This window comes from Homo sapiens, chromosome 9 (assembly GCF_000001405.40).
Source record: "Homo sapiens chromosome 9, GRCh38.p14 Primary Assembly".
NCBI classification, from domain to species: Eukaryota; Metazoa; Chordata; class Mammalia; order Primates; family Hominidae; genus Homo; species Homo sapiens.
The window spans coordinates 26,992,687-27,019,653 of NC_000009.12; the positions used below are offsets into that span (position 1 = coordinate 26,992,687).

The following is a 26,967-nucleotide window of genomic DNA, read 5'->3' on the forward strand; positions in this document are numbered from 1 at the left end:
TGTCTCAAAAAAAAAAAAATAACAAAAAGTATTGTTACGAAGGTTACTTTTCTATACAGCAGTAGAATAGATTTATTTCTTGTGTTAACCAGATGGCCAACGTCTCAATAACACAAAGATCTATCTTGACTCTACACAGAGTGACCAAGAAATGCCATACCTCGAGAAGGCAGGTGTAAAAAGCTTCTGTTTTCATTCTCTTCTCTTTCAATACAACCATTTAGTGTGGTCTGACCATCTGGTTTATTATGGAAAACTCATCTATAAAAAGTTGGTTATAATAAACAGCCTCAATATATTACAACAACAATATGTAAGACACCTGGCATTAATTCAGTTTCACAGTCTTGCTTGAACTAATGATTCTCTTCTAATCCTGCACTTTCTAGTTAATATTAGTCAAGATCAGTTGTCCTGTAAAAATATATGTAATTATAATTTTATACCCATTTATTTTTCTTTGTGTAGTCAGATATTTATTGAATACCCCATATTCAACAGAGGCCCTTGAATATAAAAGCTTAAGTGTAGTCTTTGCTCATTTGCAATTATATTTCATTTTGCTACATTTCTCAAATATTAATATTTGCATCTTATAATTAGGAAATAATTTAGCAGAATGATACATTGTTTAGAAAAAGATATTTTATGTTCCTATAATCATCTCATTCTTATAATTAAGGTTTAAAACAAAGTATAATTGATATATAAAGAAACATTAGCCATAATATACTTATATCCTTTGTTGAAAACATGTGTCTGTAAACACAAGCAAATATGTATTATAAATTAGTAAGTTCTTCTATTTTACAGGTATATCATCCTAGTTTTTATTTTCTCTCAGTAGACATTTGTATTGAATTTACTAATTATGTAACTTTTAAAATGACTATTCTATAGATTATGACATAGATCTATTTTATTTTAGCCTCTTTTTTCTAAGGAATTGTCAAGTACATACAAATTTTTAAAACTTTATTATATACATAAACAATTTGAACATACACAGAAATAGCATACTATACCATACACAACATACACAGAAGTAGCATATTATACCCTTATTTAGCTCCCAGCTCCATCAGCTCATATTTGACCTTGCTCCATCCATACCTCTAGCCACTGTTCCATTCCACGTGTTATAATGAAGAAAATACCAGAAATATTATTTCACCCATCAATATATTTCATTATTTCAGAGATATACATATTTGTAAAAGATGTAAATTCTTAATTTCTCTGCATATGAAGGTAAAAATTATAGATTGTGCTACAGTTTTTAATGTACTGTTTGCATTGATAAATTATTAAATTGTGATTATAGCCAATTGATTATGAGGACTCAGCAAATAATTTTCTTTAGACCCTTCCTATTACAGCCGATAGGCCAGTGTTTTCCAAACTACGTTCTTTGGAATGTTATTGAACTACGAGCTCTTAGTAGATGTAACTGAAAGAATGGGTTTTGTTGTCAAGTAAGTTTGAGAAATTTTTAATACTTTGCTCTTGAATAATCAGAGAGCAGTTTAGCTTAGTAAAGTTTTACATAAATCCTATTGTAAAGAATCTTGGCCAGGCACGGTGCTCCATGCCTGTAATCCCAGCACTTTGGGAGGCCGAGGCGGGTAGATCATGAGGTCAGGCGTTCGAGACCAGCCTGGCCAACATGGTGAAACCCTGTCTCTACTAAAAATACAGAAATTAGCCAGGCATGGTGGTGTGCACCTGTACTCCCAGCTACTCGGGAGGCTGAGTCAGAAGAATTGCTTGAACCCAGGAGGCGGAGGTTGCAGTGATCTGAGACTGCGCTGCTGCAGTCCAGCCTGGGAGACAGTGCGAGACTTTGTCTCAAAAAAAAAAAAAAAAAAAAGAAAAAGAATCTTGTTTCACCTTGTTTAAACTACTAGTTTTTCCTGTAGTAATTTGACCATGTACCTCCTTCTTCTTCTGTAAATACTTGTGAATGTCTCTCTGGAAATTAGTATTCTAGAAAAACAATTTGGGAAACATTGCTCTATCTACTGAATAGATAGAAATAGCTGTCCATGGACCACATGAAGATTCCTTAGTGTCAGCACAGACCAATTTGAATAAAAATCTCCCAGAGAGAGGTGGAAATATGTATTTTTAAAACAAGATTTATAGATAATTGTGATGCCCACTTTGGAAGCCAGTATGACATTAAACTGTAGTGATCCTGCATTATGGTGACAGCCTTTCTTTATAACCAGAATCAATAGTGACTTATTAGGGATTATGCCTGAACATTGTGCTTGTGCTTTAAATTGCTATGAAATTTTAAGGAAATTTATTGTGCTATTTCAGGAAGCATTTCAAAAAAATATTTTCCAACTCTATGATTTTATTCTGGGAGCATAAAATCAATCTTAGTGTATTATTTAAGCTATCTCTGTTCCTCACTTTGACTTCCATATATTAATAAATCCTAAACTTTTATTTCTTTACTGATTGAAACATTAGTATAACTTAATACATATTATGTCAAATACCTGTGTTAATATGAGAATCCATTCATTTTAATTCATGAATAATTTAGACCTTTTTACTAGTTCGTATGGTCACCCAAGCACTGCTAAGAATAGTAGTGCTAGTATTGTAGACTATGTAACTGTCAACTACCGAGGAGTGTCAGTTACTGTATTTGAACCTGCTTGCTCAATATAATGCAAAGAACATAATTTTATGATATTCATGTATGTTGTCATTAATATGAATGCCTGCCAGCTGTATTTTGTTATGTCACATAGCAAAATCTCCATATCTAAACTGAGTGAGCTGATAACTTTGCTTTAAAAAGCAAACTTTGAAAGAAATTAATTTTCTTCACATAATTCATGGATATCTATATATTTGTCTTCAATAAATCCATCATCATCTACCACAAATGAATGTAATTGTTCAAATATTACTGTAGTTTCTTCAGAGTTTGTTTCTGGTATCTGTGAAAGAGAGCTTGGATTTCCAGTAAAACCATCTTCATAGGTTTCTGCTTCATGCTCTTCCAGGCGATGATGATTATAACTAAGCAGAATATTGTACCATATTGGGCATTTGATAGCAATAAAAATGAGAAGTGAAGTCGTCAGTACAGTGACAACAACACCAACAAGAAAAGCCCAACTTTTTCCAAGAGGTTCATGTTCTTTAATGGAATACCAAGAGAGGAGAGAGAAAGAAAATTTGTTAAGTTGGCAAAATAATCATAATTATATATCCTAATTCTCCTCAATATTGGTATTAAAAATAAACATACATTGTAGTTTTCTTTAGATTTTGTTTGGTGGATGAATTCTCTTTGTTCAAAATAGCTGTGTTTGCAATTTTGTTACCCTTTTACCTAAGACCATTATTGATTTATACTCGTTAAGATTTGTGACTAGACTAGTTAAAACAAAGGCTCAGAGAAGTTAAATAATTTGCACGATGGCATTTGGCTTGTAACTAGCAGAGCCTAGTTTGGAAGAGCAATATTTTGTAAATCTTTAGTTGAGATGAGGAATCTTTCTTTTACATTTTTTATACAAATTTAAAATAAAGATAACTACCTCAGTTTATTTAGTATGATACATTCAGCAGTGTTAATATATAGAACCAGTATATTACCTGAATTTCTTGTTAAGTTGTTCGAAGAGCTATTAAATATTGAATTGCTGATGGGCTGAAAATGAATATAAAGATCTTCAGTTACTGATGAAGGAAATTTTGAGTGGCATTCAGCCTTATGAGGTACTGTTTTGATATTGTAGCTCTGCAGGCTGTTGGGGTAGCTACACATGGTGATGTTCTCATTTTCTAGTAAATCAGAAAGAATAAGATTTAGTATAGAGAAAAATAATAGTTAACAACATTTTATAATTGTTTTATCTAGAATTTTTGACATATTTGTCATTCTTAAAGGCATTATAAGAAATTCCTGTTGTATTTGTCTAGCAACATAATGAAAGAATGATGCACATTTCTGTTTATTATTTTATAAATATGGCTTAAATGCAGTATCTTTGTTATTTAGTTTATCTGTATTAGTGTAGATTTTATTATTAATATTGTGGTTACATGGTTACAATCTGGATCTCAGGCACAGTATGGTTTGCAGTTAAAATACGTCACTTGTTTTCACTTAGTCTAGGAAGCACTTTTAAAAAATTAGTCTGACATATTGACTTTGCTAACAATACATGAAATGACATTATCATCTCACATGTATAGAACATTTACATTTCTGGCCGGGCGCAGAGGCTCATGCCTGTAATCCCAGCACTTTGGGAGGCCGAGGCGGGTGGATCACCTGAGGTCGGGAGTTTGAGACCAGCCTGACAAACATGGAGGAAGCCCATCTCTACTAAAAATACAAAAAATTAGCCAGGCGTGGTGGCTCATGACTGTAATCCCAGCTACTGGGGAGGCTGAGGCAGGAGAATCACTTGAACCTGGGAGGCGGAGGTTGTGGTGAGCTGAGATCACGCCAATGCATTCCAGCCTGGGTAATAATAACAAAACTCTGTCTCAAAAAAAAAAAAAATTTCTTAATTTTTCCCCCTGGTAATGGGGAAGGAGAGCATCTATGCAGCTGTTACTTTTTAGTGTTTCTTCCTGTTTTGCTTAAACAGAAATTGTTTCCTTTCCTTTTTTTTTTTTTTTTTTTTTGAGACAGAGTCTCACTCTGTTGCCCAGGCTGGAGTGCAGTGGCACGATCTCGGCTCACTGTAACATCTGCCTCCCAGGTTCAAGCAATTCTCCCACCTCAGCCTCCTGAGTACCTGGTACTACAGGCATGCGCCACCATACCCAGCTAATTTTTGTATTTTTAGCAGAGATGGGGTTTCACCATGTTGGCCAGGCTGGTCTCAAACTCCTGACCTCAGGTGATCCCCCTGCCTTGGCCTCCCATAGTGATGGGATTACAGGCATGAGCCACTGCGCCTGGCTGCTTCCTTTTCTTTAAAACGTGATATGAGAGATTTTTCTGTGGTGGAACATTGAGTTAATCACATTTTGGTTTTGCTTAATTATGATAGCTTACCTAATGTCACATTTGATGTGTTCAACCAGTTCTGCAAATTAAATAGACTGCAAGAGCAGTTCCATAGGTTTCCATATAAAGTTATTAATTCCAGATGAAATAGTGGTGGTACATCCAAATAGCTAATCAAATTGCCTTGCAGATTCAGAAGTTTTAGGCTTCTTAGAGGCACAAATACATCAGCATTCAGTTGTTCTATTTTGTTTTGGCAGAGATATAACTGTTTTAGTTTATTTAAGCCTAAAAATGCACCCTGTTGAATTACATAGATGGAGTTTCTACAGATATTTAAAATTTCTAGACTGGAGAGGTTACCAAAACCGTTATTATGTAAGATAGTAACCTTGTTCTCAATCAAATAGAGCTCTGTGAGTAAAAAGTATGTCTGTAGAACTCTTGTGTCTGTACCATTAAGAGTAATTTGGTTATAACTGAGATCAAGTATAGTAACATCTTTCTTGATATCTGCTGGAATCAAGGTATAATTTTTTTCAGTAAAATTACATTGGACTTCCTAGAAAAACAAAAAAAAGAAAGGCATTAATCAGAAAAAAAATTAATAGAATTTCACCAAATTTCATATTTAAGCACTTAGACATTAGAAGGACGTTATTTTGGGAAAAAAACCTACTATCTAATATTTTGGTGTTACAGTAGAGCAAATCTTTTTCTTTATTGGGATGAAATACTAAAAATTAAGGATATTCTGATACATACAATTGAACAAAGAGATTCCAATTTGTCATACGGGTATTTTCCAACTGTTATTACATGATCATTACAGAAAGTAATGCTACTGGAATATTCCCATTTATATATGTGGAAATGTATGGTAAATAATAATTCTGTTAACATTTAATATTCCAGTGTGCACAATTGCTTTATAGTGAGGAAATTATTTTAAACTATATGTGTTTTTAAAATCAGCAGAGCTAACAACATTATACCTAGGGCTGTTCAATAATTAATAAATGGGCTGGGCATGGTGGCTCACGCCTGTAATCCCAGCACTTTGGGAGGCTGAGGCAGGCGGGTTACCTGAGGTCAGGAGTTCAAGACCAGCCTGTCCAACACAGTGAAACCCTGTCTCTACTGAAAATACAAAAAAAAAAAAAAGTCAGCCGGGCATGGTGGCAAGCACCTGTAATCCCAGCTACTTGGGAGGCTGAGGCAGGATAATCGCTTCAACCCAGGAGGCGGAGGTTGCAGTGAGCTGAGATCATGCCATTACACTCCAGCCTGGGCGACAGAGCGAGATTCCGTCTCAAAAGCAAGCAATCAATCAATCAGTCTGAATAAACTCTCTGGTTTAACTCTCTTAAACTCTCTGGGTTTAACAGCTCAAAGTTTGGTGTTTTAAAAGGAAATATTTATCTTTTATCAGAAATGGAGCCAGGTATTGAATTTAAAGAGCCACACAATCTGAAATTCTTTATGTGGATATAGATGGAAAGAAAGAAATAGTTCTTGTTTTTACTGAACAGTAAACTAAGAATAAATAGAACTAAGAATAGTTCTGGTTTATTACTGTTTTTGCAGTTAGATTTTTTCACCAATAATAATTCAATAGCAGTTTCTCTCATAAATATGTGCTTTTTAAAAAAAAGTTTCCTACATTTTAAACAAGATTTTACTCTTAAAACTAATTTCTGATTTTATAGTGAAAATTTTCAGATCTCTCCCTTTAATCAACTTTTAAAGAACTCAGTTTTTATAAATGAAGGCTGCTTTTGTCAAATTGGAATTTGGATATACAGAGCTAAATAAACTCTTAATTTTAGTAGGTCAGATTTTCTTTGCTTTCTTATTGCCCTTTTATATTTTACTAAATATACAGAAAATGTACCTTTGAAAATATTTTTACTATTTTGATTGTAAAAACTTACTCTTTTAGAAGACTGGATTTTGTCTGATAATAATATCATGGAGAGGGGCCAAAAGAGGATTGTGATGCCTGTGACTTTCATGTTGCAGACCTGATAGAAAAGAGAGTATTTTCATTAAGGACATTTTTATTTTTCCCTCTTTTGAATCTGTTTATTCTTTTTTTTTTTTTTTTTTTTTGGCTGAGACAGGGTCTCACTCTGTCACACAGACCTGGTGGCATGGTCACAGCTCACTGCAGCCTTGATCTCCCAGGCTTAAGCAGTCCTCCCAACTCAGCTTCCTAAGTAGCTGAAACACAAGCATGCACTACCATGCCTGGCTAATTTTAAAAATTTTTGTAGAGATGGGGTCACCATGTGTTACTCAGCCTGGTATCAAACTCCTGGGTGCGAGCCATTTCCCCCCAGCCACTGGCGTGGCCTTGAAAAGTGCTGGGATTATAGATATGAGCCACTTACCCTGGCCTTTCAAATCTACTTTTTCTTGAAATACATAAAATGTGAAACAAGTGCATGGCCATTCACCATCCTTGCACTCTGATCTTAATAAACTAGAAAGCCCCTTTGAAGAATGAGACTGATTTCTATTTTTTCTTTTTAGAGAAAATTAATATTTTTAAGTGTGTCTCATTAGTTTCTAGATCTCATGAAAGGAGCTTTAAAGCAATTTAAGTGGTTGTAAATTTTAAAAATTTAATATAGAAGTGCACAAAAGAAATTCAGGAAAACGTATATTTATGCATGTTTAAGTATATGCTTATATTGATGGTCTTGATTTTTTCAATTTTAGGCATTATCTATTGGCATTATCTATCTATTATTCTTGACTTAAAACTGTGGGAGATGAGAATCTTTAGCACTCTTTTTCCCCCCATGGTAACTTTTAAAAATTTTATTGAGGCGTGGTAGATATACATAGTTTTGGGGTACATGTGATAAAGTAGTGCATTCATATAATTTTTAAAGATCAAATTAATGTACTTGGGATATCCAACACGTTAAATATTTGTCTTTTCTTTATAATGGAAACATTCAAATTCTCTTCTAGCTGTTTTTAAATGTACAGTAAATTAGACGAGAGGGAGAGCATCAGAAAATAGCTAATGGATGCTGGGCTTAATACCTAGGTGACGGGTTGATCTGTGCAGCAAACCACCGTGGCACATGTTTACCTATGTAACAAACCTGCATAACCTGCACATGTACCCCGGAACTTAAAAATAAAAGTTGAAGGAAAAAAATTACTGTAAACTATAATTACCCTACTGATCTAACACTAGGCCTTCTTTTTTTAAGCAAACTGTATGTTTGTATGCATTAATAAACTTTTCTGCATTCCTCCCTCCCTACCACCCTTTCCAGCCTCTGGTAACCACTAGTCTACTCTTAATCTATATGAGGTCCACTTTTTTAGCTCCCACATGCCGGTGAGAATGTGTGATATTTGTCTTTCTGTGCTTGGCTTATTTCACTTGACATAATGACCTCCGGTTCCGTTTTTGTTGCCGCAAATGACAGGATTTCATTTGTTTTTATGGCTGAATAATATTCCATTGTATATATATGCTACTTTTTTTTAATCCATTCATCTGTTGATGGGCACTTAGGTTGATTCCATAGTTTTGCTCTTGTGAATAGTCCTCCAATACACATGGGAGTGCAGCTATCTCTTTAATATATTCATCTCTTTTTTTTAAATGTATACCCAGTGGAATTACTGGATCAAATGTAAATGTAAGTGTTATATTTTTAGTTTTTTAAGGAACCTTCATACTGCTCTCCAGAGTGGCTATACTAATTTACATTCCCAAGAGTGTATGAGGGTTCCCCTTTCTCCACATCGTCACCAGCATCCGTTATTGCCTGTCATATTGATAGAAGCTACTTTAATGGGGGTGAGATTATATATCATTGTAGTTTTGATTTGCATTTCCCTGAGTGATTACTGATGTTGAGCATTTTTTCCACATACTTGTTTGTCTTTTGTGTGTTTTTTGAGAAATATCTATTCAGTTCTTTTGCCATGTTTACTTGGATTATTTGTTTTTTATCGGTTTGTTTTTGGCTAGTGAGCTGTTTGAGCTCTTTATATCTTCTGATTATTAACCCCTTTTTAGATGGGTAGTTTGCAAATATTTTCTCATTCCGTGGGTTGTCTCTTCACTTTTTTGATCATTTTCTTTGCTGTGCACAAGCTTTTTTGCTTGGCGAAACCCCATTTGTACATTTTTGCTTTGGTTTCCTGTGCTTTTGAGGTCTTAGAGACACAAAAAAATCTTTGTCCAGGCCAGTGTTCTAGAGCAATTCTCCAACGTTTTCTTTTTTTCTCTTTTTTTTTTTTAAATAAAGAAAAGAGGTTTAATTGACTCAGTTCCACAGGCTGTACAGGATGCACGTCTGGGGGGTCCTCAGGAAACTTACAATCATGGTGGAAGGTGAAGGGGAAGCAGGCATGTCTTACATGGCTAGAGAAGGAGGAAGAAAGAGCAGAGGGAGGAGCTACACACTTTTAAACAACCAGATCTTTTTTTCTTTTGAGACAGAGTCTGGCTCTGTTGCCCAGGCTGGAGTGCAGTGATGCCATTTTGGCTCACTGCAACCTCTGCCTCCTGGGTTCAAGTGATTCTCATGCCTCAGCCTCCTGAGTAGCTGGGACTACAGGCATGTGCCACTTTCATGCGGGTCCATGTGAAGAGACCACCAAACAGGCTTTGTGTGAGCAACATGGCTGTTTATTTCACCTGGGTGAAGGTGGGCTGAGTCCGAAAAGAGAGTCAGCCCTCCAGTGTTTTCTTGAAACAGTTTTATAGTTTGAGGTCTTATTAAAGTCTTTAATCCATTTTTATTCCTGGATATGGCAAGAGATAGGGGTCTGGTTTCATTTTTCCATATATAGTTATGCAGTTTTTCTAGCACCATTTATTGAAACAACTATTATTTCTCCATTTTATGTTCTTGGCACCTTTGTTGAAGATGAGTTGATGTAAATGTGTGTATTTATATCTGAGTTCTCTATTCCATTCCATTGGTCTATGGATCTGTCTTGATGCCAGTACCATGCTGATTTGGTTACTATAGCTTTGTAGAAAATTTTGAAGTCAGGTAGTGTGATGCCTCCAGCTTTGTTCCTTTTTGCTGAGGGTTGTTTTAGCTATTTGGGATCTTTTATGGTTCCATATGAATTTTAGGATTTTTTTTTCTACTTCTATGAAGAGCGTCACTGTATTTTGATAGGAATTGCATTGAATCAGTAAATTGCTTTGGTTAGTATTGATATTTTAGCAATGTTCTTCCACTCCATGAACATGGATTATATTTCCATTTTTTTTTGTATCCTCTTCAGTTTCTTTCATCAGTGTTTTACAGTTTTTGTTATATAGATATTTCACTTCATTGGTTAAATTGATTCCAAGGTATTTTATATTCTTTGTAGCTATCGTAAACAGGCTTGCTTTCTTGATTTCTTTTTCAGATTCTTCACTGTTGGCATATCTAAATTCTACCAATTTTTATATGATGATTTTATATCTTGCAACTTTACTGAATTCAGTTGTCAGTTTTTACAGATTTTTTGTGGAGTATTTAGGGTTTGTTTTTTTTTTAATTTTTTAAGTGTAAGATCATGTCTGCCAGGTGCAGTGGCTCACGCCTGTAATCCCAGCACTTTGGGAGGCCGAGGCGGGCAGATCACCTGAGGTCAGGAGTTTGAGACCAGCCTGGCCAACATGGCGAAACCTCATCTCTACTACAATTACAAAAATTAGCCGGGTGCAGTGGCAGGCACCTGTAATCCCAGCTACTTGGGAGGCTGAGGCAGCAGAATTGTTTGAACCTGGGAGGCAGAAGTTGCAGTGAGCCGTGATCATGCCACTGTGCTCCAGCCTGGGTGACAGAGTGAGACTCTGTCTCAGAAAAAAAAAAGAAAAACTAATCAGAGTAGGCAAGAATCCATGCAGCATACTAAAGTCTCTCGCCTCGTTAGCAATAAGGAATTTACTGCTATTTTAGTGCTAGTCTGTTCTAGTCAACTTCCTCATTGCCTTTGATTTGTTGATCCATTTATGCACATTCCCCTTCTACCTTTTCTCTTTCCATAGTTAAATGAAATTTGTTAGGAAAAGCTACTCTGCCTCCTATATTTTATAAAATTTGGATGTAGATCATAATAGAATCCCTTTTAGAGCCAGAAGTGCATTTAAACTATCACTTATTCAAGATGATTGCCCATAGAAGAGGGATGCCTAAATCATTTACAAAAGGTAGTTTACCTATGTTTAATGATTTATAGGAATAGGTGTTCAGCTCCTTCAATGGCTTGTTTCAGTATTTCTCAATGATGTGGTGAAATTCTTACTGATGTCTCTAGTAGGCTGCAGAGGTGACTGAGGAGAGGTGGGTAAGGGAAGTGCTGTTTTTTTTCCAGAAACAAATAGGATGGGGATAGTGAAAGAAAGCAAATAGGCTACAAAGAAAATGAACTAGATTTAAGTTAAAAGTTGATATGAAATAGAAGCAGGTGAAAAAAGTAATGGAGGCAAGACAGGACTGTGAGCTTATGTGGAAATGGAGACGGAGTATGGTTTTATATTTATTATCTGTATCTGCTATTTAATGCTAATAATTGTTTTCTCAAGTGCGCTAAAAGAAAAAAATCATAAGGATTAGAAAAGGATTTTTTTTCCTTTCCATTGGATAGATCTTGGAAGCAGTGTATACTCAGCTCAAGGTAGATTCTGTACAAGAAAGCATTCAACAAATCTAAAGCATCGTTAGGTCTGAAGCTGTGAAATACATTGATTGATCCATACTATCTGTGAGAGTTTTCACATATTTGTGTGCCTTTTCAGAGGAGAAAGATTGAAAGAGGGGGTGATGTCGATTATCATGACACTGAGTAAGTCCCCAGACAAAGCATTTGCTAGCATTATTGGGTGTCTTTAAAAAAAGAAAATCAGATACGCAGAATAGCTGGCCAAGTAGATTATGCAGAAATTATCCATCAGTCAGTTTAGCCTGTTTCAACAGTTGGTTTAAAAGGAAGTCAGTCATTGTTGCTTTCTTTCTCCTTTTGGAATATTTTCTAATTTGGATTTTTTTTGAAATGATAGTTGAGTTTCATATAGTGATTACTTAGGAGCTAATATAAAATAGAAAACTGGAATAGAAGATGGAATATCAGTTTCTTTTGTTATTTCACAAAATTACGTGCATTTTTACCTAGCATATGATCTACGTTACTGAAAAAAAAAGAGCTTTACTCAAAGGAAATGGTAGATACTGAAAAAGAAGCATTGTTCTTAATAAAGTTTCAAGTACATGTTTCTTAAGTTATTTACTTTATATGATTATTATATGCTATGAAATAAAGAGATGCTGTAATTATTTTGGTTTTGTTAAAATCTAAATGTAGTTTTTCCATTAAGTATTTTAGATATTTATGCCAGAATTCAATGTATTTAGAGAATGATGTTAATAATACACAATTAACTTTGTTTCCTTATTTAACTATTGTGTAGATTTTTTTCAGATTTAAAACCTTTTTGTAATGGAAAATTTCAAGGAAAAAACCTAAGTAAGAAGAATAGTTATCAGCCTGCTTCAATAATCATCAACTCATGGCCAGTCTTTTTTTTATCTTGCCAATTGGCTTTTAGATTAGTGTCACTTCAGAATGCTCTGTGATTAACATATTTTAAAATAAAAATTCTTATAAATTTGATTGGCTAGATGAAACCATTTCCCCCCCCGCCCCCCGCAAAACAATTACTTAGTATTGTATTCTAACTTTATTTAGGAAAGACCCTTTGGCCATGTCTCAGGTATATAGTATTTTTGAGGTAGACCATGTGAAAATATAATCATATTTTCTTATTTTTCATCACTTCTTAAAGGCAAAGATGGTTGTACAGACTTAACAAACTTAAATATGATTAAAAAAAATACAACAATAACCAAAGCTATAAATATACATATCTTACCTTTTTTTCTTTTGTCTCTAAGACTTGTGTGCTAAAGGAAATTAACTCTGTTTCAACGGCATTAAAAAAAGTACATCGTATGATTACATTTCACTTTGTTTTAACCTTTGTACCCAGTGAACAGGTGATTTAAAAAAAAAAACTAGACTTCCTTAGCAAAAGATTGACTAGAAGAATAATTTCTTAAAGTCATCTTTTCCTTTTTTAGTATAACAAGTAAGGCTGTTTGCCTAACCTTTGTGTTTCTTTCTTTTTTTTCTTTTTTTGAGATGAAGTCTCGCTCTGTCATTCAGGCTGGAGTGCAGTGGCATGATCTCGGCTCAATGCAACCTCCACCTCCTGGGTTCAAGCAGTTCTCCTCCCTGCCTCAGCCTCCTGAGTAGCTGGGATTACAGGCTCCCGGCACTGCACCTGGCTAATTTTTGTATTTTTAGTAGAGATGCGGTTTCACCATGTTGGCCAGGCTGGTCTCAAACTCCTGACCTCAGGTGATACCCCTGCCTCAGCCTCCCAAAGTGCTGGGATTACAAGTGTGAGCCACTGCACCCAGCCTACCTTTGTGTTTCTTAATTACTCTTTGAAAATTTTATTAAAGTATTAACAATTTTACTTACTGATTTAGAGTTTACAATATTGAAAATGCATACTTTTGAAAGATATACTGTTGCTAAATTAATTTATGTTTGTCCTGATGGTATTTTGTGCTTAGAAGCATTCAAACTGAGGTCAGGTGCAGAGTCTGACACCTGTAATCCCAGCACTTTGAGAAGCTAAGATGAGAGAATAATTTGAACTCAGGAATTTGAGACCAGCCCGGCCAACTTAGCAAGACCTTGTCTCTACTCAAAATAAAAAGTAAAAACATTAGCAGGGCATGGTGTTGTGTGCCTTTAGTCCCAGTTACCTGGGTGGCTGAGGTGGGGGGATGGCTTGAGTTTGAGCATGCAGTGAGCCATGATTGTGCTACCACAGTCTAGTCTGGGTGACAAGTGGTACCTGTCAAGAAAGAAAGACAGAAAGAGGGAGAGGGAAAGAGAGAGAGAGAGAGAAGAGAAGAGAGAGGAGGGGGAGGGGAAGGAGGAGGAGGAGGAAGGGAAGGAGGCAGGGAGGGAGGAAAAGGAAGGAAGGAAAGGAGAGAGAGAGAAAAGAAAGGAGGTAGGGAGGGATTCAAATTGTAAAGATACCACCAAGTTTTGTATTCTATTGAGTTTCAACGTTTTTGTTTACTTATTATTGTGTGTTTTTTTTTTTTTTTTTTTTTTTGAGATGGAGTCTCGCTCTGTCACCCAGGCTGGAGTGTAGTGGCGCAGTCTCGGCTCACTGCAAGCTCTGCCTCCCGGGTTGACGCCATTCTCCTGCCTCAGCCTCCCAAGTAGCTGGGACTACAGGCGCCCACCATCACGCCCAGCTAATTTTTTTGTATTTTTAGTAGAGACGGGGTTTCACCATGTTAGCAAGGATGGTCTCGATCTCCTGACCTCGTGATCTGCCCGCCTCGGCCTCCTAAAGTGCTGGGATTACAGGCATGAGCCACCATGCCCAGCCTGTTTACTTACTTTTATGACACCATCATCAGTGGTTTTACTGCCAAGTTATAACAGGAGCAAAGTACTCAAAGCATCAAAAAGACCTTACACCTGGACATCATATGGCCTTTAGAAAGTCAGTTACTTTTCTTATGCTGTAATTTCTCCTCTGTAAAATGGAATACTTTATAACATTAGTTCTCATCTTCCTACATTGAAAGAAGAAACACTGTTGGTAGTCAGTAATCAAATTTAGAATGAATTCCTTCCAAAAGATTAATTCCACTGGGCTTCAGTATCCTTAATTTATGAAAATAGATACTTTCCTTTCAATTTCTTTGAGCTCATATACCTATACAAATTGTAGCAGCAGGAAACACATTTGTTTTACTGTTGTAATTGAAGCTCCAAGTGAAGATACCACTTCTTCTCCAACAGTGAAACAAAAATAAATTGAAATTCCAGGTTGCTTTACTATGTTCATCTTTTATTTGGTTATTTTGAGATTTTTTTTGGTAGGGAAATTTCTGAGTTTAGGTTGTTTATTCTAGTAGTAGGATATGAATGTGTAGAAGGTGTGTAGGGGATATGTGGATCCACAAGCTTAGCTGGTGATTGTGAAAACTATAGAAGTTGGTATCTATGAGCGAAAGAGAGTAAATAGTGATAGGTTAATCAGATTTTGAAACTCAAAATAGAAATTAATGATCTTGGGAGTGAAAATGTGTGTTCAATCCAGCTTTTTATAAAATGTAAATCTTGAAAGTATTTAGATAAGTGGCATCTTACCTATTCTTTTTTCAGAGTTTTTCTCTACCCTATCAATAATTGACCTTGCCTAGGCAACAAGTGACATGTCATTGGTATTTCTTTTGATTACGTGATAAAAATGGTTATTGCTTCTAATTAATTTCACTATTACTACTTTTATAGGATTATGTTTGTAATGTTTATTGTGTTTTTAGAGAAATGAGCTTAATATTTTACAATGCTAAAAAATAGCAAAAATTTGTGAAATAGCAATGTTAACTAAAGCAGTAAGTAAAAGAGAACTTAAGCAAAGCATATTATTAATCTAAAGCCATAACTAAAAAATCAAATTGCACTGCAGGCCTCTCTACTCCCTAGTTCTGTCAGAGCCACACTGGATGATTTACACGGGAAACTTCTATACAGTATTTAATTTAGTCAGAAAAACTTATGGCTAAAGGATGCTTTAAAACCACAATTCTAAAACTTATTTGTCTTTTTTTTTTTTGAGATGGAGTTTTGCTCTTTTGCCCAGGCTAGAGTGAAGTGGCGCGATCTCAGCCCACTGCAACCTCTTCCCCACTGGGTTCAAGCGATTCTCCTGCCTCAGCCTCCCAAGTAGCTGGGATTACAGGTGCCCGCCACCACGTGTGGCTAATTTTTGTACTTTTAGTAGAGATGGGTGTTTTGTCGTGTTGCCCAGGCTGGTCTCGACCTCCAGACCTCAGGTGATCCACCTGCCTCAGCCTTCCAAAGTGCTGGGATTACAGACGTGAGCCACCGAGCGCAGCCTCTTATTTGTCTTTTGAAGGTATAACTTTAAAAAAGTATAAATGCATCCTCATATATATAAGTCATTAAGGATTTTTTGGTAATCTTTGTGATTTCTTAGTAAAATAAAATGGAGAGTAAGGAAATAGAGGAATTTAGGGATGGAGAAGAGAAAGATGTAAAAATAAGTTTGTGCTAATGGGGCCAAATTTTATATAGGTCAAATAGCATTTTTTAGTACAAATATAAAGACTTTTCAGTCACACACTGTGGTTGAATGTCTTTAAGTATCCTATTAAATTAGGACCATGACTTGTATAAAATAATTGGATATTTTTTCCTCAATATAGTATCAGGAATATTACGTGCTTCTGATTTTAGGAAAGAAAAACAAATCAGAAGTGTCGAAGAAGAAATTGAACAGGAAAAACAAGCAACAGATGACATTATCAAAAATATGTCTTTTGAAAACCAAGTCAAGTACCTAGAGATGAAAACCACAAATGAGAAACTGTTACAGGTAATACAAATTACTGCTGTGTGCCAAGCATGTATCATTCTTGCTACTAAAAGTATAGTTTGAATATCAGCAGCATCAGCATCCCCTGAGAACTTGACTATACTTTGAGATCAGTTTTCATTTTAACAAGGTCCCCATCTGATTCATACGTATATTCACATTTCAGAAGAATTTATTTAGAAAACTTCATTTTCATCTGCTGTTTGATGACCTAGCTTTTACTCTTATTATTTTTGGTTTACTTCTATTTATTCATTTTGCATTTCATAAAGACATGAAAATACTCGCATTTATAAAAATACTTGTCTATAAATATTTGCATTTATAAAAGTACTTTTCTATAAATGTTTGCATTGATAAAAATACTTGTCTGTAAATTAAAAAGTCTGTAAATACTTGCAGTTACAGACTTTTAATGCAAACATTAAAAGGCCTCATAGGTGGAGGTTGCAGTAGTGAGCTGAGATTGCACCACTGCATTCCAGCCTGGGCAACAGAGCGAGACTCTGTCTCAAAAAAAAAAAGGCCTCATAGACCAGATCCATATATATATTTACTTTCCTTTTCCTTCCTGCTTAATAAACAGCTAACCTTTTTACCTGTTAGCATTATGATTTGAATGGCTATTGTCCTGTAATTATATTGCCTAAATTTCCATTTTTAAAAATTAATTTTTTTATTGATACACAATTGTACATATTTATGGGGTACATGTGATATTTCCATGCACGTATGCAATGTATAATGATCAAATCGGGATAATTAGGATATTCATCACCTCAAACATTTGGCATTTTTTTTGTGCTGGAAACATTTTTTTTTTTTTAATTTAAAAAAAATTTTTTTTTTGAGACGGAGTCTCGCTCTGTCGCCCAGGCTGGAGTGCAGTGCCCATCTCGGCTCACTGCAAGCTACGCCTCCCGGGTTCATGCCATTCTCCTGCCTCAGCCTCCCAAGTAGTTGGCACTACAGGCGCCCGCCACCACGCCCGGCTGATTTTTTGTATTTTTTTAGTAGGGACGGGGTTTCACCGTGTTAGTCAGGATGGTCTTGATCGCCTGACCTCGTGATCCGCCTGCCTCGGCCTCCCAAAGTGCTGGTATTACAGGCATGAGCCACCGCGCCCGGCCTTATGCTAGAAACATTTTGAATCTCCTTTTCTGGCTATTTTGAAACATACAATTAATTACTGATAACTATAGCCACCCTAGTGTTCTATCAAACATGAGAATTTATTCCTTCTCTCCCCCACACCACCCCATGCCCCCAACTGGGCACCACCTTCTCAGCCTCTGGTAACCATCATTCTACTACCCCCTTTTTTTTGTTTTTTTTTTTTTGTTTTTTTTGAGACGGAGTTTCGCTCTGTCGCCCGGGCTGGAGTGCAGTGGCGCGATCTCGGCTCACTGGAAGCTCCGCCTCCCAGGTTCATGCCATGCTCCTGCCTCAGCCTCCTGAGTAGCTGGGACCACAGGTGCCCGCCACCACGCCTGGCCAATTTTTTATGTGTTTTTAGTAGAGACAGTGTTTCACCGTGTTAGCCAGGTGATCCGCCCCCCTCGGCTTCCCAAAGTGCTGGTATTACAGGCGTGAGCCACTGTGCCCGGCCGAGATCCACTTTTTTAGGCTCCTACAGATGAGTGAGAACATGCAATATTAAATAAGCAATTTAAGTCCCTGTTGAGGGCATATTGAGAATCCTCTCAATACTCAGTCATGGTGGTTCCCTTTCATGCCCAGATGGCCCTTAACTAAAGATTAAGCAAAGAATTAGGCCCCATAAATGCCAATAATGATTATAGTTTTAGTTTCTTAGACATTCCTTTGCTGACAATTTAGTAACCTTTTTATTTTAGAGAAGATTTCTAAGATACTGTGAAGCGTTGAAGAAAAAGTATGGCCTGGCCAAGATGGTGAAACCCTGTCTCTACTAAAAACACAAAAATTAGCCAGGCATGGTAGCAGGCCCCTGTAATCCCAGCTACTCGGGAGGCTGAGGCAGGTACTTGGTTGATCCCGGGAGGCGGAGGTTGCAGTGAGCCGAGATCATGCCACTGCACTCCAGCCTGGGCAACAGAGCGAGACTCTGTCTCAAAAAGAAAAAAGAAAGAGTATGATAGAAATGCCAAAATAGTACCAAAATATAGTTAATCTTGTATGGGATAATGAATGAGTAAACAGTTTAAGGATCTTATCTTAGGAGTGAACCATATTTATATTTACATATACGTGTATGTATGTGTACATGTGAACCATATTTATATTTACATATATGTGTATGTATGTGTGCATGTGTTATATGTGTGTGTACACAGTATAGAGAAATTAGGCAAAAGATGTGAAAACACGGTTACAAATCAAAATTTTAAATAATAATCTTAAACAATGACATAATTTGAAAGCTTCTGATATTTGATGTCTCAGAACATAGTGATGATTCAGTGTGAAAAGGTCTAAGGTCTAGCTACTTTTGAGAAACTCATGAAGTTTTTTTTTTTTTTTTTTGAAGGCACACAGCAAGTTTTTAAGAATAATGAAAGAAGTTGGGAAAAATAGAAATAATGAAGTGTTAATAAATTCTAGTCAAAATGTAAGATGCCAGTGAAGATATTTAGAAAATTTACTTAGTCACTTTGAAATGTTGAGAAACAGAGAAATAAATTTTTTTTCCCAGCTCCCTCCCCCCACTACAACAAATTATTCTTAATGTAATTTGGATTTATGTTTGCTTTTTTTTTTCCACTTAGGAATTAGATACACTTCAACAACAATTGGATTCACAGAACATGAAAAAAGAGAGCCTGGAAGCAGTAAGTATAAAATCAAATAAGGGTTCTCATACTACTCAGCTAAAAAAGTTAATTCAGCCAAGTATATTAATATAACTAATTCAACTACATATTGATCTGGCAGCTTACTAATAGGAGTTTAATACTTTTTCTTCCTATTCTGGACCCACAAAGATCCTAGTATGGTAAGAAATTAGATTCAGTTATTGAGTACCTACTATGTATAAAACAAATCATTCCGCCCTACCTAGGACATGCAAAATCCAATAGCAATTAAAAAAATTATTTTTTTAGAGACAGAGTCTTTCTTTGTCACTCAGGCTAGAGTGCGGTGACATGATCGTAGCTCACTGTAAATTCAAGCTCCTGGGCTCAAGCGATCCTCCCTCCTCAGGTTCCCAAGTAGCTAGGACTTCAGGCAGGAACCACCACACCTGGCTAATTTTTTTTTTACTTTTTGTAAAGACAGGGTCTCGTTATGGCTGATGTACAGCTCCTGGCCTCAAGCAATGCTCCTGCCTTGGCTTCCCAATGTGCTGGGATTACAGGCATGAGGCATTGTGCTCAGCCTCTAATGGCAATTTAAAGACACATACACAAGAGATTATAAAAACAAAGAAAGAGGGAGAGACATGAGTTCATCTCTTTAAGGATGTAAAAACTTACTTTTTTTATTCATTTATTTAAAACGCTTTATTTCACAAAACAAAATGTGCATATGGTTTAAAAATAGTTGAACAAGAGGAAAGTAAAAATGTCTGTTTTTTTTTTTTTTTTTTTTTTTTTTTAGACAGAGTATCGCTCTGTTGCCCAGGCTGGAGTGCAGTGGTGCGATCTCGGCTCACTGCAAGCTCCGCCTCCCAGGTTCACGCCATTCTCCTGCCTCAGCCTCCAGAGTAGCTGGGACTACAGGCACCCGCCACCACACCCAGCTAATTTTTTTGTATTTTTAGTAGAGATGGGATTTCACTGTATTAGCCAGGATGGTCTCGATCTCCTGACCTTGTGATCCGCCCACCTCGGCCTCCCAAAGTGCTGGGATTATAGGCGTGAGCCACTGCGCCCAGCCAAAATGTCTGTTTTGTGTCCTTCTTTCCAGATAGAACTACTGGAAAGACATTTATCAAGTGCTTACTGTATGCTTTTTTGAGCTGTAAACACATATCAGCATCATCTTCATGTAATCCCCACAAGAGTCCTAAATCCCATCTTGGTTTTACAGTTGTGGAAAACCTCAAGTGGGGTTCCTACGTGCTATGCTAGCTGCAGCTTTCTTTTTTCACCCTAACATTGTATCTACAGTGTCTATTTATATCAGTTCCTAGAGAACCTCCTCATTATTTTAAATTGCTACAATGTATTATGTTGTATAATTATAACACAGCCTTGTAAATGAACAGGTTGTTTATAGTTTTCCGGGATTATAAACAATACTCCTGTGAAAGCATACATTTTATGCGAAGTTATATCATAAGATTGAATTCTCACAATGGGTCAAAAGGTATACAGTTTAAAAATGTTGTCAGATTGCCAAATTGCCTTCAAAAAGGTTGTTCCAACTTTTACTTCTAGATGTAATGTATGTGAATGCTTATTTCCCCTGCATTCACTGACAGCAAATATTATCTGACTTTTCCAGTTTTAGCTATTTTGATAGGTAAAAATTACTACCTTATTTGAATTTTCATTTATTTATGAATAAAGTTGAGTATCTATTTATATCATTTTTGGCCAATGAATTTCTTTTTCTTTGAACTCCTTTTTCATATTTTTGGCGTTTCAGTATACTGTCTGTATCTCAAATCTTGCCTCCCTTTCCTGATTTCCTGTGGATTCAGGTAGACATCATGATGACAGTATTAGGAACTGTTGTAGACTGATAGATTGCTGACACCCTAGCTTGCAAAAGAAATGAGTATTTTGTAATTAATTCTTTTGAGAATTTGCTATTGAAAAAGTTATTTAATTAAAAATAGTAAGGTAGTTGGCTGGGCGTGGTGGCTCACGCCTGTAATCCCAGCACTTTGGGAGGCCAAGGCAGGCAGATCACAAGGTCAGGAGATCGAGACCATCCTTGCTAACGTGGTGAAAACCCGTCTTTACTAAAAATACAAAAAATTAGTCGGGCATGGTGGCAAGCACCTGTAGTCCCAGCTGCTCGGGAGGCTGAGGCAGAAGAATGGCATGAACCCAGGAGGCAGAGCTTGCAGTGAGCCAAGATCACGCCACTGCACTCCAGCCTGGGCGACGGAGCAAGATTCTGTCTAAAAAAAGTAAAAAAAAAGCAGGTAGTTTTCTGTGTCTGGTTGTCCATCTATAAAGACACTTAATTTTTATTTCCTTGGATCTCTGGTGATGGAAATACGCTTAAAGAAAGAAGGACCACATTTAGTATTAATACAACCAGCTTGCAGAATTCCTCATGGTTCTTTTTTGGAGTGGGTTTGAGAGAGTCAAGTCTTACTTCACTTGGTGAATTTGGTTTCCATAGGAAAAATCATAAGCTATAACCTTAGATTTACTTTTTGTACTGATGCCGTTCTTCTCTGATGTCAGTACATTTATGCCTAAAATAACAAGAGTTTTAAAAATACACAATATGTGCAAATTAAGATAACATGTCACTAATTCTATTTAACTTTTGCCAGATTTCTTTCTTTTTAAAAAAAAAAATTTTTTTGAGACAGAGTCTTGCTCTGTTGCCCAGGCTAAAGTGCAGTGGCACAGTCTTGGCTCACTGCAACCTCCGCCTTCTGAGTTCAAGCAATTCTCCTGCCTCAGCCTCCCGAGTAGTGGGATTACAAGCGTGCATCACCATGCCCGGCTAATTTTTGTATTTTTAGTAGAGACAGGGTTTCACTGTGTTGGCCAGGCTGGTCTTGAACTCCTGACCTTGTGATCCACCCGCCTTGGCCTCCCAAAGTGCTGAGATTACAGGCGTGAGCTATCACGCCCAGCCCAGATTTCTTTTATTTATTTGTTTAGGACTTGTTCTTCAAGAAAATACCTGTCAGATAGTGGTCAATCAACTAGTATTTTTTGAATACTTTATGTTCACTGCTGTACAACGTATTAGGTCATGCTTATTCAGTTCACAAGAGTGGAAAAAATCAGGTGAAGGATTAACATGAGCTTAAGTCTTCCAGAACAATTTTATCAAGATGAAATTCAAACAAATCTATAGGATTGTTAGGCAAAAAGGAGACGATACTATGAAAAAGGATAGCATAAAATATCTGCATTTCTTCTATGTCTTTTTAGCATGGCTTTTTTTAATCTTATCTGATGCCTAATCTGTTACTTGAACTGTATATATAATCCATTGCTTATGGACTTTGAAAAATTATCTCGTCTACTCGTTCCTTTTTTGGAGGTTCCTTCTTTCATACTTTTAGAAGAGAAGAGGTTGGCCAGGCACAGTGGCTCACACCTGTAATCCCAGCACTTTGGGAGGCTGAGATGGGCGGATCACGAGGTCAGGAGTTTTGAGACCAGCATGGCCAACATGGTGAAACCCCATCTCTACTAAAAATACAAAAATTAGCTGGGCGTGGTGGCAGGCGCCTATAATCCCAGCTACTTGGGAGGCTGAGGCAGGAGAATCGCTTGAACCTGGGAGGCGGAGTTTGCAGTGAGCCAAGATCGCACCACTGCACTCCAGCCTGGGTGAAAGAGCGAAATTCCATCTCAAAAAAGAAAAAAAAATGAGGTCTTCCCTTCTAAGAATTTTATTTTGTTCAAGTTGTAGGTCCGGTTTCAAATGTCACTGTTAACTCTTATGTCTTTGTTAACTTTGAAAAGTTATTTACATGTCAGATCCTTAGTTTTCTCATCTGTAAAATAGAGATGATAGTACTATCTTGTAGAGTATCACTTTGGATAGTAGAGATAGCATATAAATAACATGTAGTATAGTGCCTGGCACAGAACAGATGCTCAGTAAACAAGAGTCTCAAATGTCATTTTAATCATCACCAACACCATTCCTACCTTTTTTTTGGTGTTGTTAGCTAATAACATTTTTGTCACATCCTTATTTTTTTCTTTGTGAAAGGTGGGATAGTGGTGAGTACACAGTAACTGTTATTTCATGTGTTCATTTCCTAGTGCTGCTATAATAGAATATCACAAACTGGGTGGCTTAAAAGAAACACAAATTTTCTCACAGTTCCAGAGCCTGGAAGTCTGAAATCACGGTGTCAGCAGAGCCATGCTTCCTCTGAGACTCTAGACAGAATCTTGCTCTGCTTCTTCCTAGCTTCTAGTGGTATCCATTAGCTCTTGATATTGCTTGACTTGCAGCTGCATCACTCCAGTCTTTGCCTGAGTCATAACATGGTATTCTCCCTGTGTGTCTCTGTTGTGTCTGTACTCTTCTTATAAAGGGCACCATCATATTGGATTAGGGCCCACCCCTAATGACCATATCTTAACTTGACTAAATATGCAAAGAGCTTATTTCCAAATAAAGGTCAAATTGACAGGTTTATGATGTTAAGACTCCAGCTTACCTTTTTGAGCAGACACAATTCAACCCACAAAATTGTGGGAAAATATATGTTATGACCTATTTAGGGAAAAATATCTTCTCTCCAAAGATCACTTCTATGGACTTTGAATCAGACATTGTGTTTAAAGTTGTACATATGTTTTGACATTGTCTTTATCCTCCCATTGGTAGAGTTGTCCTATACTTATTCAGGTCTTATATGTAGAAAATAAAATAAACTAAGGCTATCAACTTCTTGTGAATCTTAGACTGAAAATAGCAGGATTTATTTTTATTCTTCCAATTTAGGAATGTGCTTTGTAGCATTATTGAGTACTAATGATATTTGCTGTCTGTATTTAAAGATGCTAGTAGTTTAAATTTACCCCCATTCTTATAAACTGAAACCTATTTTAGAATAATTATTGATAAAATACTAATTAAAACTTTCCCTTCTTATTTTCCTTTAGGAAATAGCTCACTCCCAGGTGAAACAGGAGGCGGTATTGCTGCATGAAAAACTTTATGAGTTGGAGTCCCATCGAGATCAAATGATTGCAGAAGACAAAAGCATAGGATCTCCAATGGAAGAGAGAGAGAAATTACTTAAGCAGGTGGGCAAAACAAACATACTTATTTTAAGATGTCTGGTTTTGGTACATGTATTGATTTGTTTTTTTTAAAGGGATATTAATGCAAGTAGTAAAGCTAGTAAGTGTATTGTCTAAAAATAGTTTATGTGAAGAAATGACTTTTTAATCTAGATTTTCTTCCTCTTTTATTATTATTATTATTATTATTTTTGATGTAGGATCTTGCTCTGTAACCCAGGCTGGAGCACAGTGGTGCAATCATAGCTCACTGTAGCCCTGAGCTGCTGGCCTCAAGTGATCCTCCACCTCAGCCTCCCGAGTAGCTGGGACTGCAGGCATGTGCCAACACACCAATTTTTTATTTTTATTTTTTGTAGAGATAGGGTTTTACTGTGTTGCCTGGGCTGGTCTCCAGCTCCTGGCCTCAAGCAGTCCTCCCATTTCAGCCTCTCCAAGTGTTGGGACTATAGGCACCCAGCCTAGATTTTCTTAATCAAGTATTTCATAGTAACTTAGGTGAAGCTAACTTTTCCTTATTAGGAATACTTGAAACTCTTCTTTATTGGTCATTAAATATTTAGATAATCTTTTTGAAGATATGTTTCATTATTGTTTTGGGCCTTGTATTTAGAAAATGGAGTATCCCAAGGCTAATGACTTTTTGTGGTTGTTATTATCAGTGCCTCCATGAAGAGAATGGAATTAAAATGTCCTGTGAAATTATCGTATGTCCTAAAGTCATGACACATGTAACATGTATTTAGTAGCTTTCTTACTACCCCAGGGGTGGATTTAGTTTAGCTCCAAATTATAATTAGCATGTTGTTTATCCTGACACATCCTAACTATAAGGGCCTTAGGAGAACTTCATATGTATATGGGCACAGCTCCAGTCAGGGACTCCTTTGCCCTTAGACTTAGATCAAGCCCAGTGCATTTAGAAGAAATGTAGGTATCAATTCAGGGACTATTTAATTATTAGAATCATTTCAAAAAGGTATTAAATCTAGAACCTGTGTAGTTCCTTGGAGAGAAATCATTGAAAGATGGGGAGGAGTGATCTTGAGGTACGCCTACCACATAAAATATAGAATGGCTGCTTAAATTTGAATTTCAGATAAGCAATAAATAATCTTTCAGATATATATATGTATATGGAAAAATTATTTATTGCTTGTCAATGATATGGATATTCCAAATATTACATGGTACATATATCCTCTCAAAGGTATTCACTATTTATCTGAAATTCAGATTTAACTGGGCTTGCTCAATCTAGCAACCCTACCTTGTGGGAAACTGAGGGGAATCTCAGAAATCCTAGATGTTTATATCAACTTATCCAGGCCTGAAGATGAGCTATCCTCATGGTGCCTGGAGGGTAGCTGTGAGTATATCAGTTACTACCCTTACTTTGAGGAAAAAGGATGGAATCTGTGAATGGTTCCTTGGTGCTGTTCCCTTTAACTTCAAAGGTTGAAATCTAAAAAATAGATTTCAAGAAAGAGAGTAGATTTGACACTTTAGTACAATTGTACTCTAGAAGGAAATTATCTTTAAGATAGCCTTACAATGAGTTATTTTTTTAAATACTACTTTCTTTTTATGCCTTTGTAGATTAAAGATGATAATCAGGAAATAGCCAGCATGGAAAGACAGTAAGTATCTTTATACTAGGACATTTTACATCCATTTCTCACTTTAAAAATTACATTCTAAAGGTACAGGAGTGGCTTTCATTCTTTCAATTTTACTTATAGCTTTAAATATTTCTTTGAGTGTTTAAGAGCCATTGCATAGTATAATTTTTTTATAAGTATCTTTATTAAGATATACTTTATACCATATAATAGACATATTTAATGTAAACAATTTAAAACATTTTAGTATATTCACAGAAGTGTGCAGCCATCACCTAGATCACCTTTATTTTTCAATTTTTATTTATTTTTATCTTTTTGAGACCAGGTCTCATTCTGCTGCCCAGACTGGAGTGCAAGTGGCATGATATAGCTCACTGTAACCTCAAACTCCTGGGCTCAAACCTCCCAAGTAGCCAGGACTACAGGCACACACCACCATATCTGGCTAATTTATTTTTATTTTTAGTAGAGTCGAGATCTTGCTATGTGGCCCAGGCTAGTCTCCAGCTCCTAGCCTCAAGTGATCCTCCCATCTCAGCTTCCCAAAGAGCTGGGATTAAAGATGTGAGCCAGTATGCCATGCCCCCAGTCAATTTTAGAACTATTCAGTCAGCCCAATAAAACCCTGCACCCTTTAACCATCACCTCCCTTATCCCTCTCCCAGCTCTAGCCATGCCCATTCTGGACATTTCATATATATGGAATCATTCAATATGTGCTTCTGTGTGTCAGGATGCTTTCACTTAGCACAGTGAGCCTTGCTTTCTCGAAGATCAGCTGACTATTGGTATTTGGCTTTATTTCTGGGTTCTCTGTTCTGTTCCAAGGCTCATAGGTGAGCCTTGAAAACTAAGACAAATGGAATATTATTTGGAAATAAAAATTAATAAAATACTAAGCATGTATTAGTTTTTATTAATACTAATACATGCTTAGTATTTTATTAATTTTTATTTCCAAATAGTATTCCATTGTATGGA

At 36.4% G+C, this 26,967-nt stretch overlaps 2 protein-coding genes across 6 annotated transcripts in view; one reads left to right on the top strand and one right to left on the bottom strand.

Moving 5' to 3' along the window:
- The window catches only part of IFT74 (intraflagellar transport 74), a 119,025-nt gene that overhangs the window by 45,577 nt on the left and 46,481 nt on the right, over window positions 1-26,967 (top strand). For all 5 annotated transcript variants that reach the window (NM_001099223.3, NM_001099222.3, NM_001349928.2 and 2 more), the window contains exons 9-12: window positions 16,334-16,472; window positions 19,220-19,282; window positions 24,221-24,364; window positions 25,961-26,001. In NM_001099223.3, coding sequence (NP_001092693.1) covers window positions 16,334-16,472; window positions 19,220-19,282; window positions 24,221-24,364; window positions 25,961-26,001 — 387 coding nt within the window. The remainder of the gene's footprint in view (window positions 1-16,333; window positions 16,473-19,219; window positions 19,283-24,220; window positions 24,365-25,960; window positions 26,002-26,967) is intronic.
- LRRC19 (leucine rich repeat containing 19) lies at window positions 450-12,986 on the bottom strand. The gene is made up of 5 exons (NM_022901.3): window positions 12,906-12,986; window positions 6,928-7,017; window positions 5,042-5,555; window positions 3,625-3,813; window positions 450-3,163 (listed from the first exon to the last, which is right to left on the bottom strand). The coding sequence occupies exons 2-5, from the start codon at window positions 7,006-7,008 to the stop codon at window positions 2,835-2,837; spliced, it is 1,113 nt and encodes a 370-aa protein (NP_075052.1). The 5' UTR covers window positions 7,009-7,017; window positions 12,906-12,986; the 3' UTR covers window positions 450-2,834.

Coding starts and splice junctions, on each gene's coding strand:
- LRRC19 (NM_022901.3), bottom strand. CDS start 7,008: ATGAAAGTCACAGGCATCACAATCCTCTTTTGGCCCCTCTCCATGATA. Junction 5,556..6,927: donor AAATCCAGTCTTCTAAAAGA/GTAAGTTTTTAC, acceptor TTGTTTTTCTAG/GAAGTCCAATGTAATTTTAC. Junction 3,814..5,041: donor CACATCAAATGTGACATTAG/GTAAGCTATCAT, acceptor CTGATTTACTAG/AAAATGAGAACATCACCATG.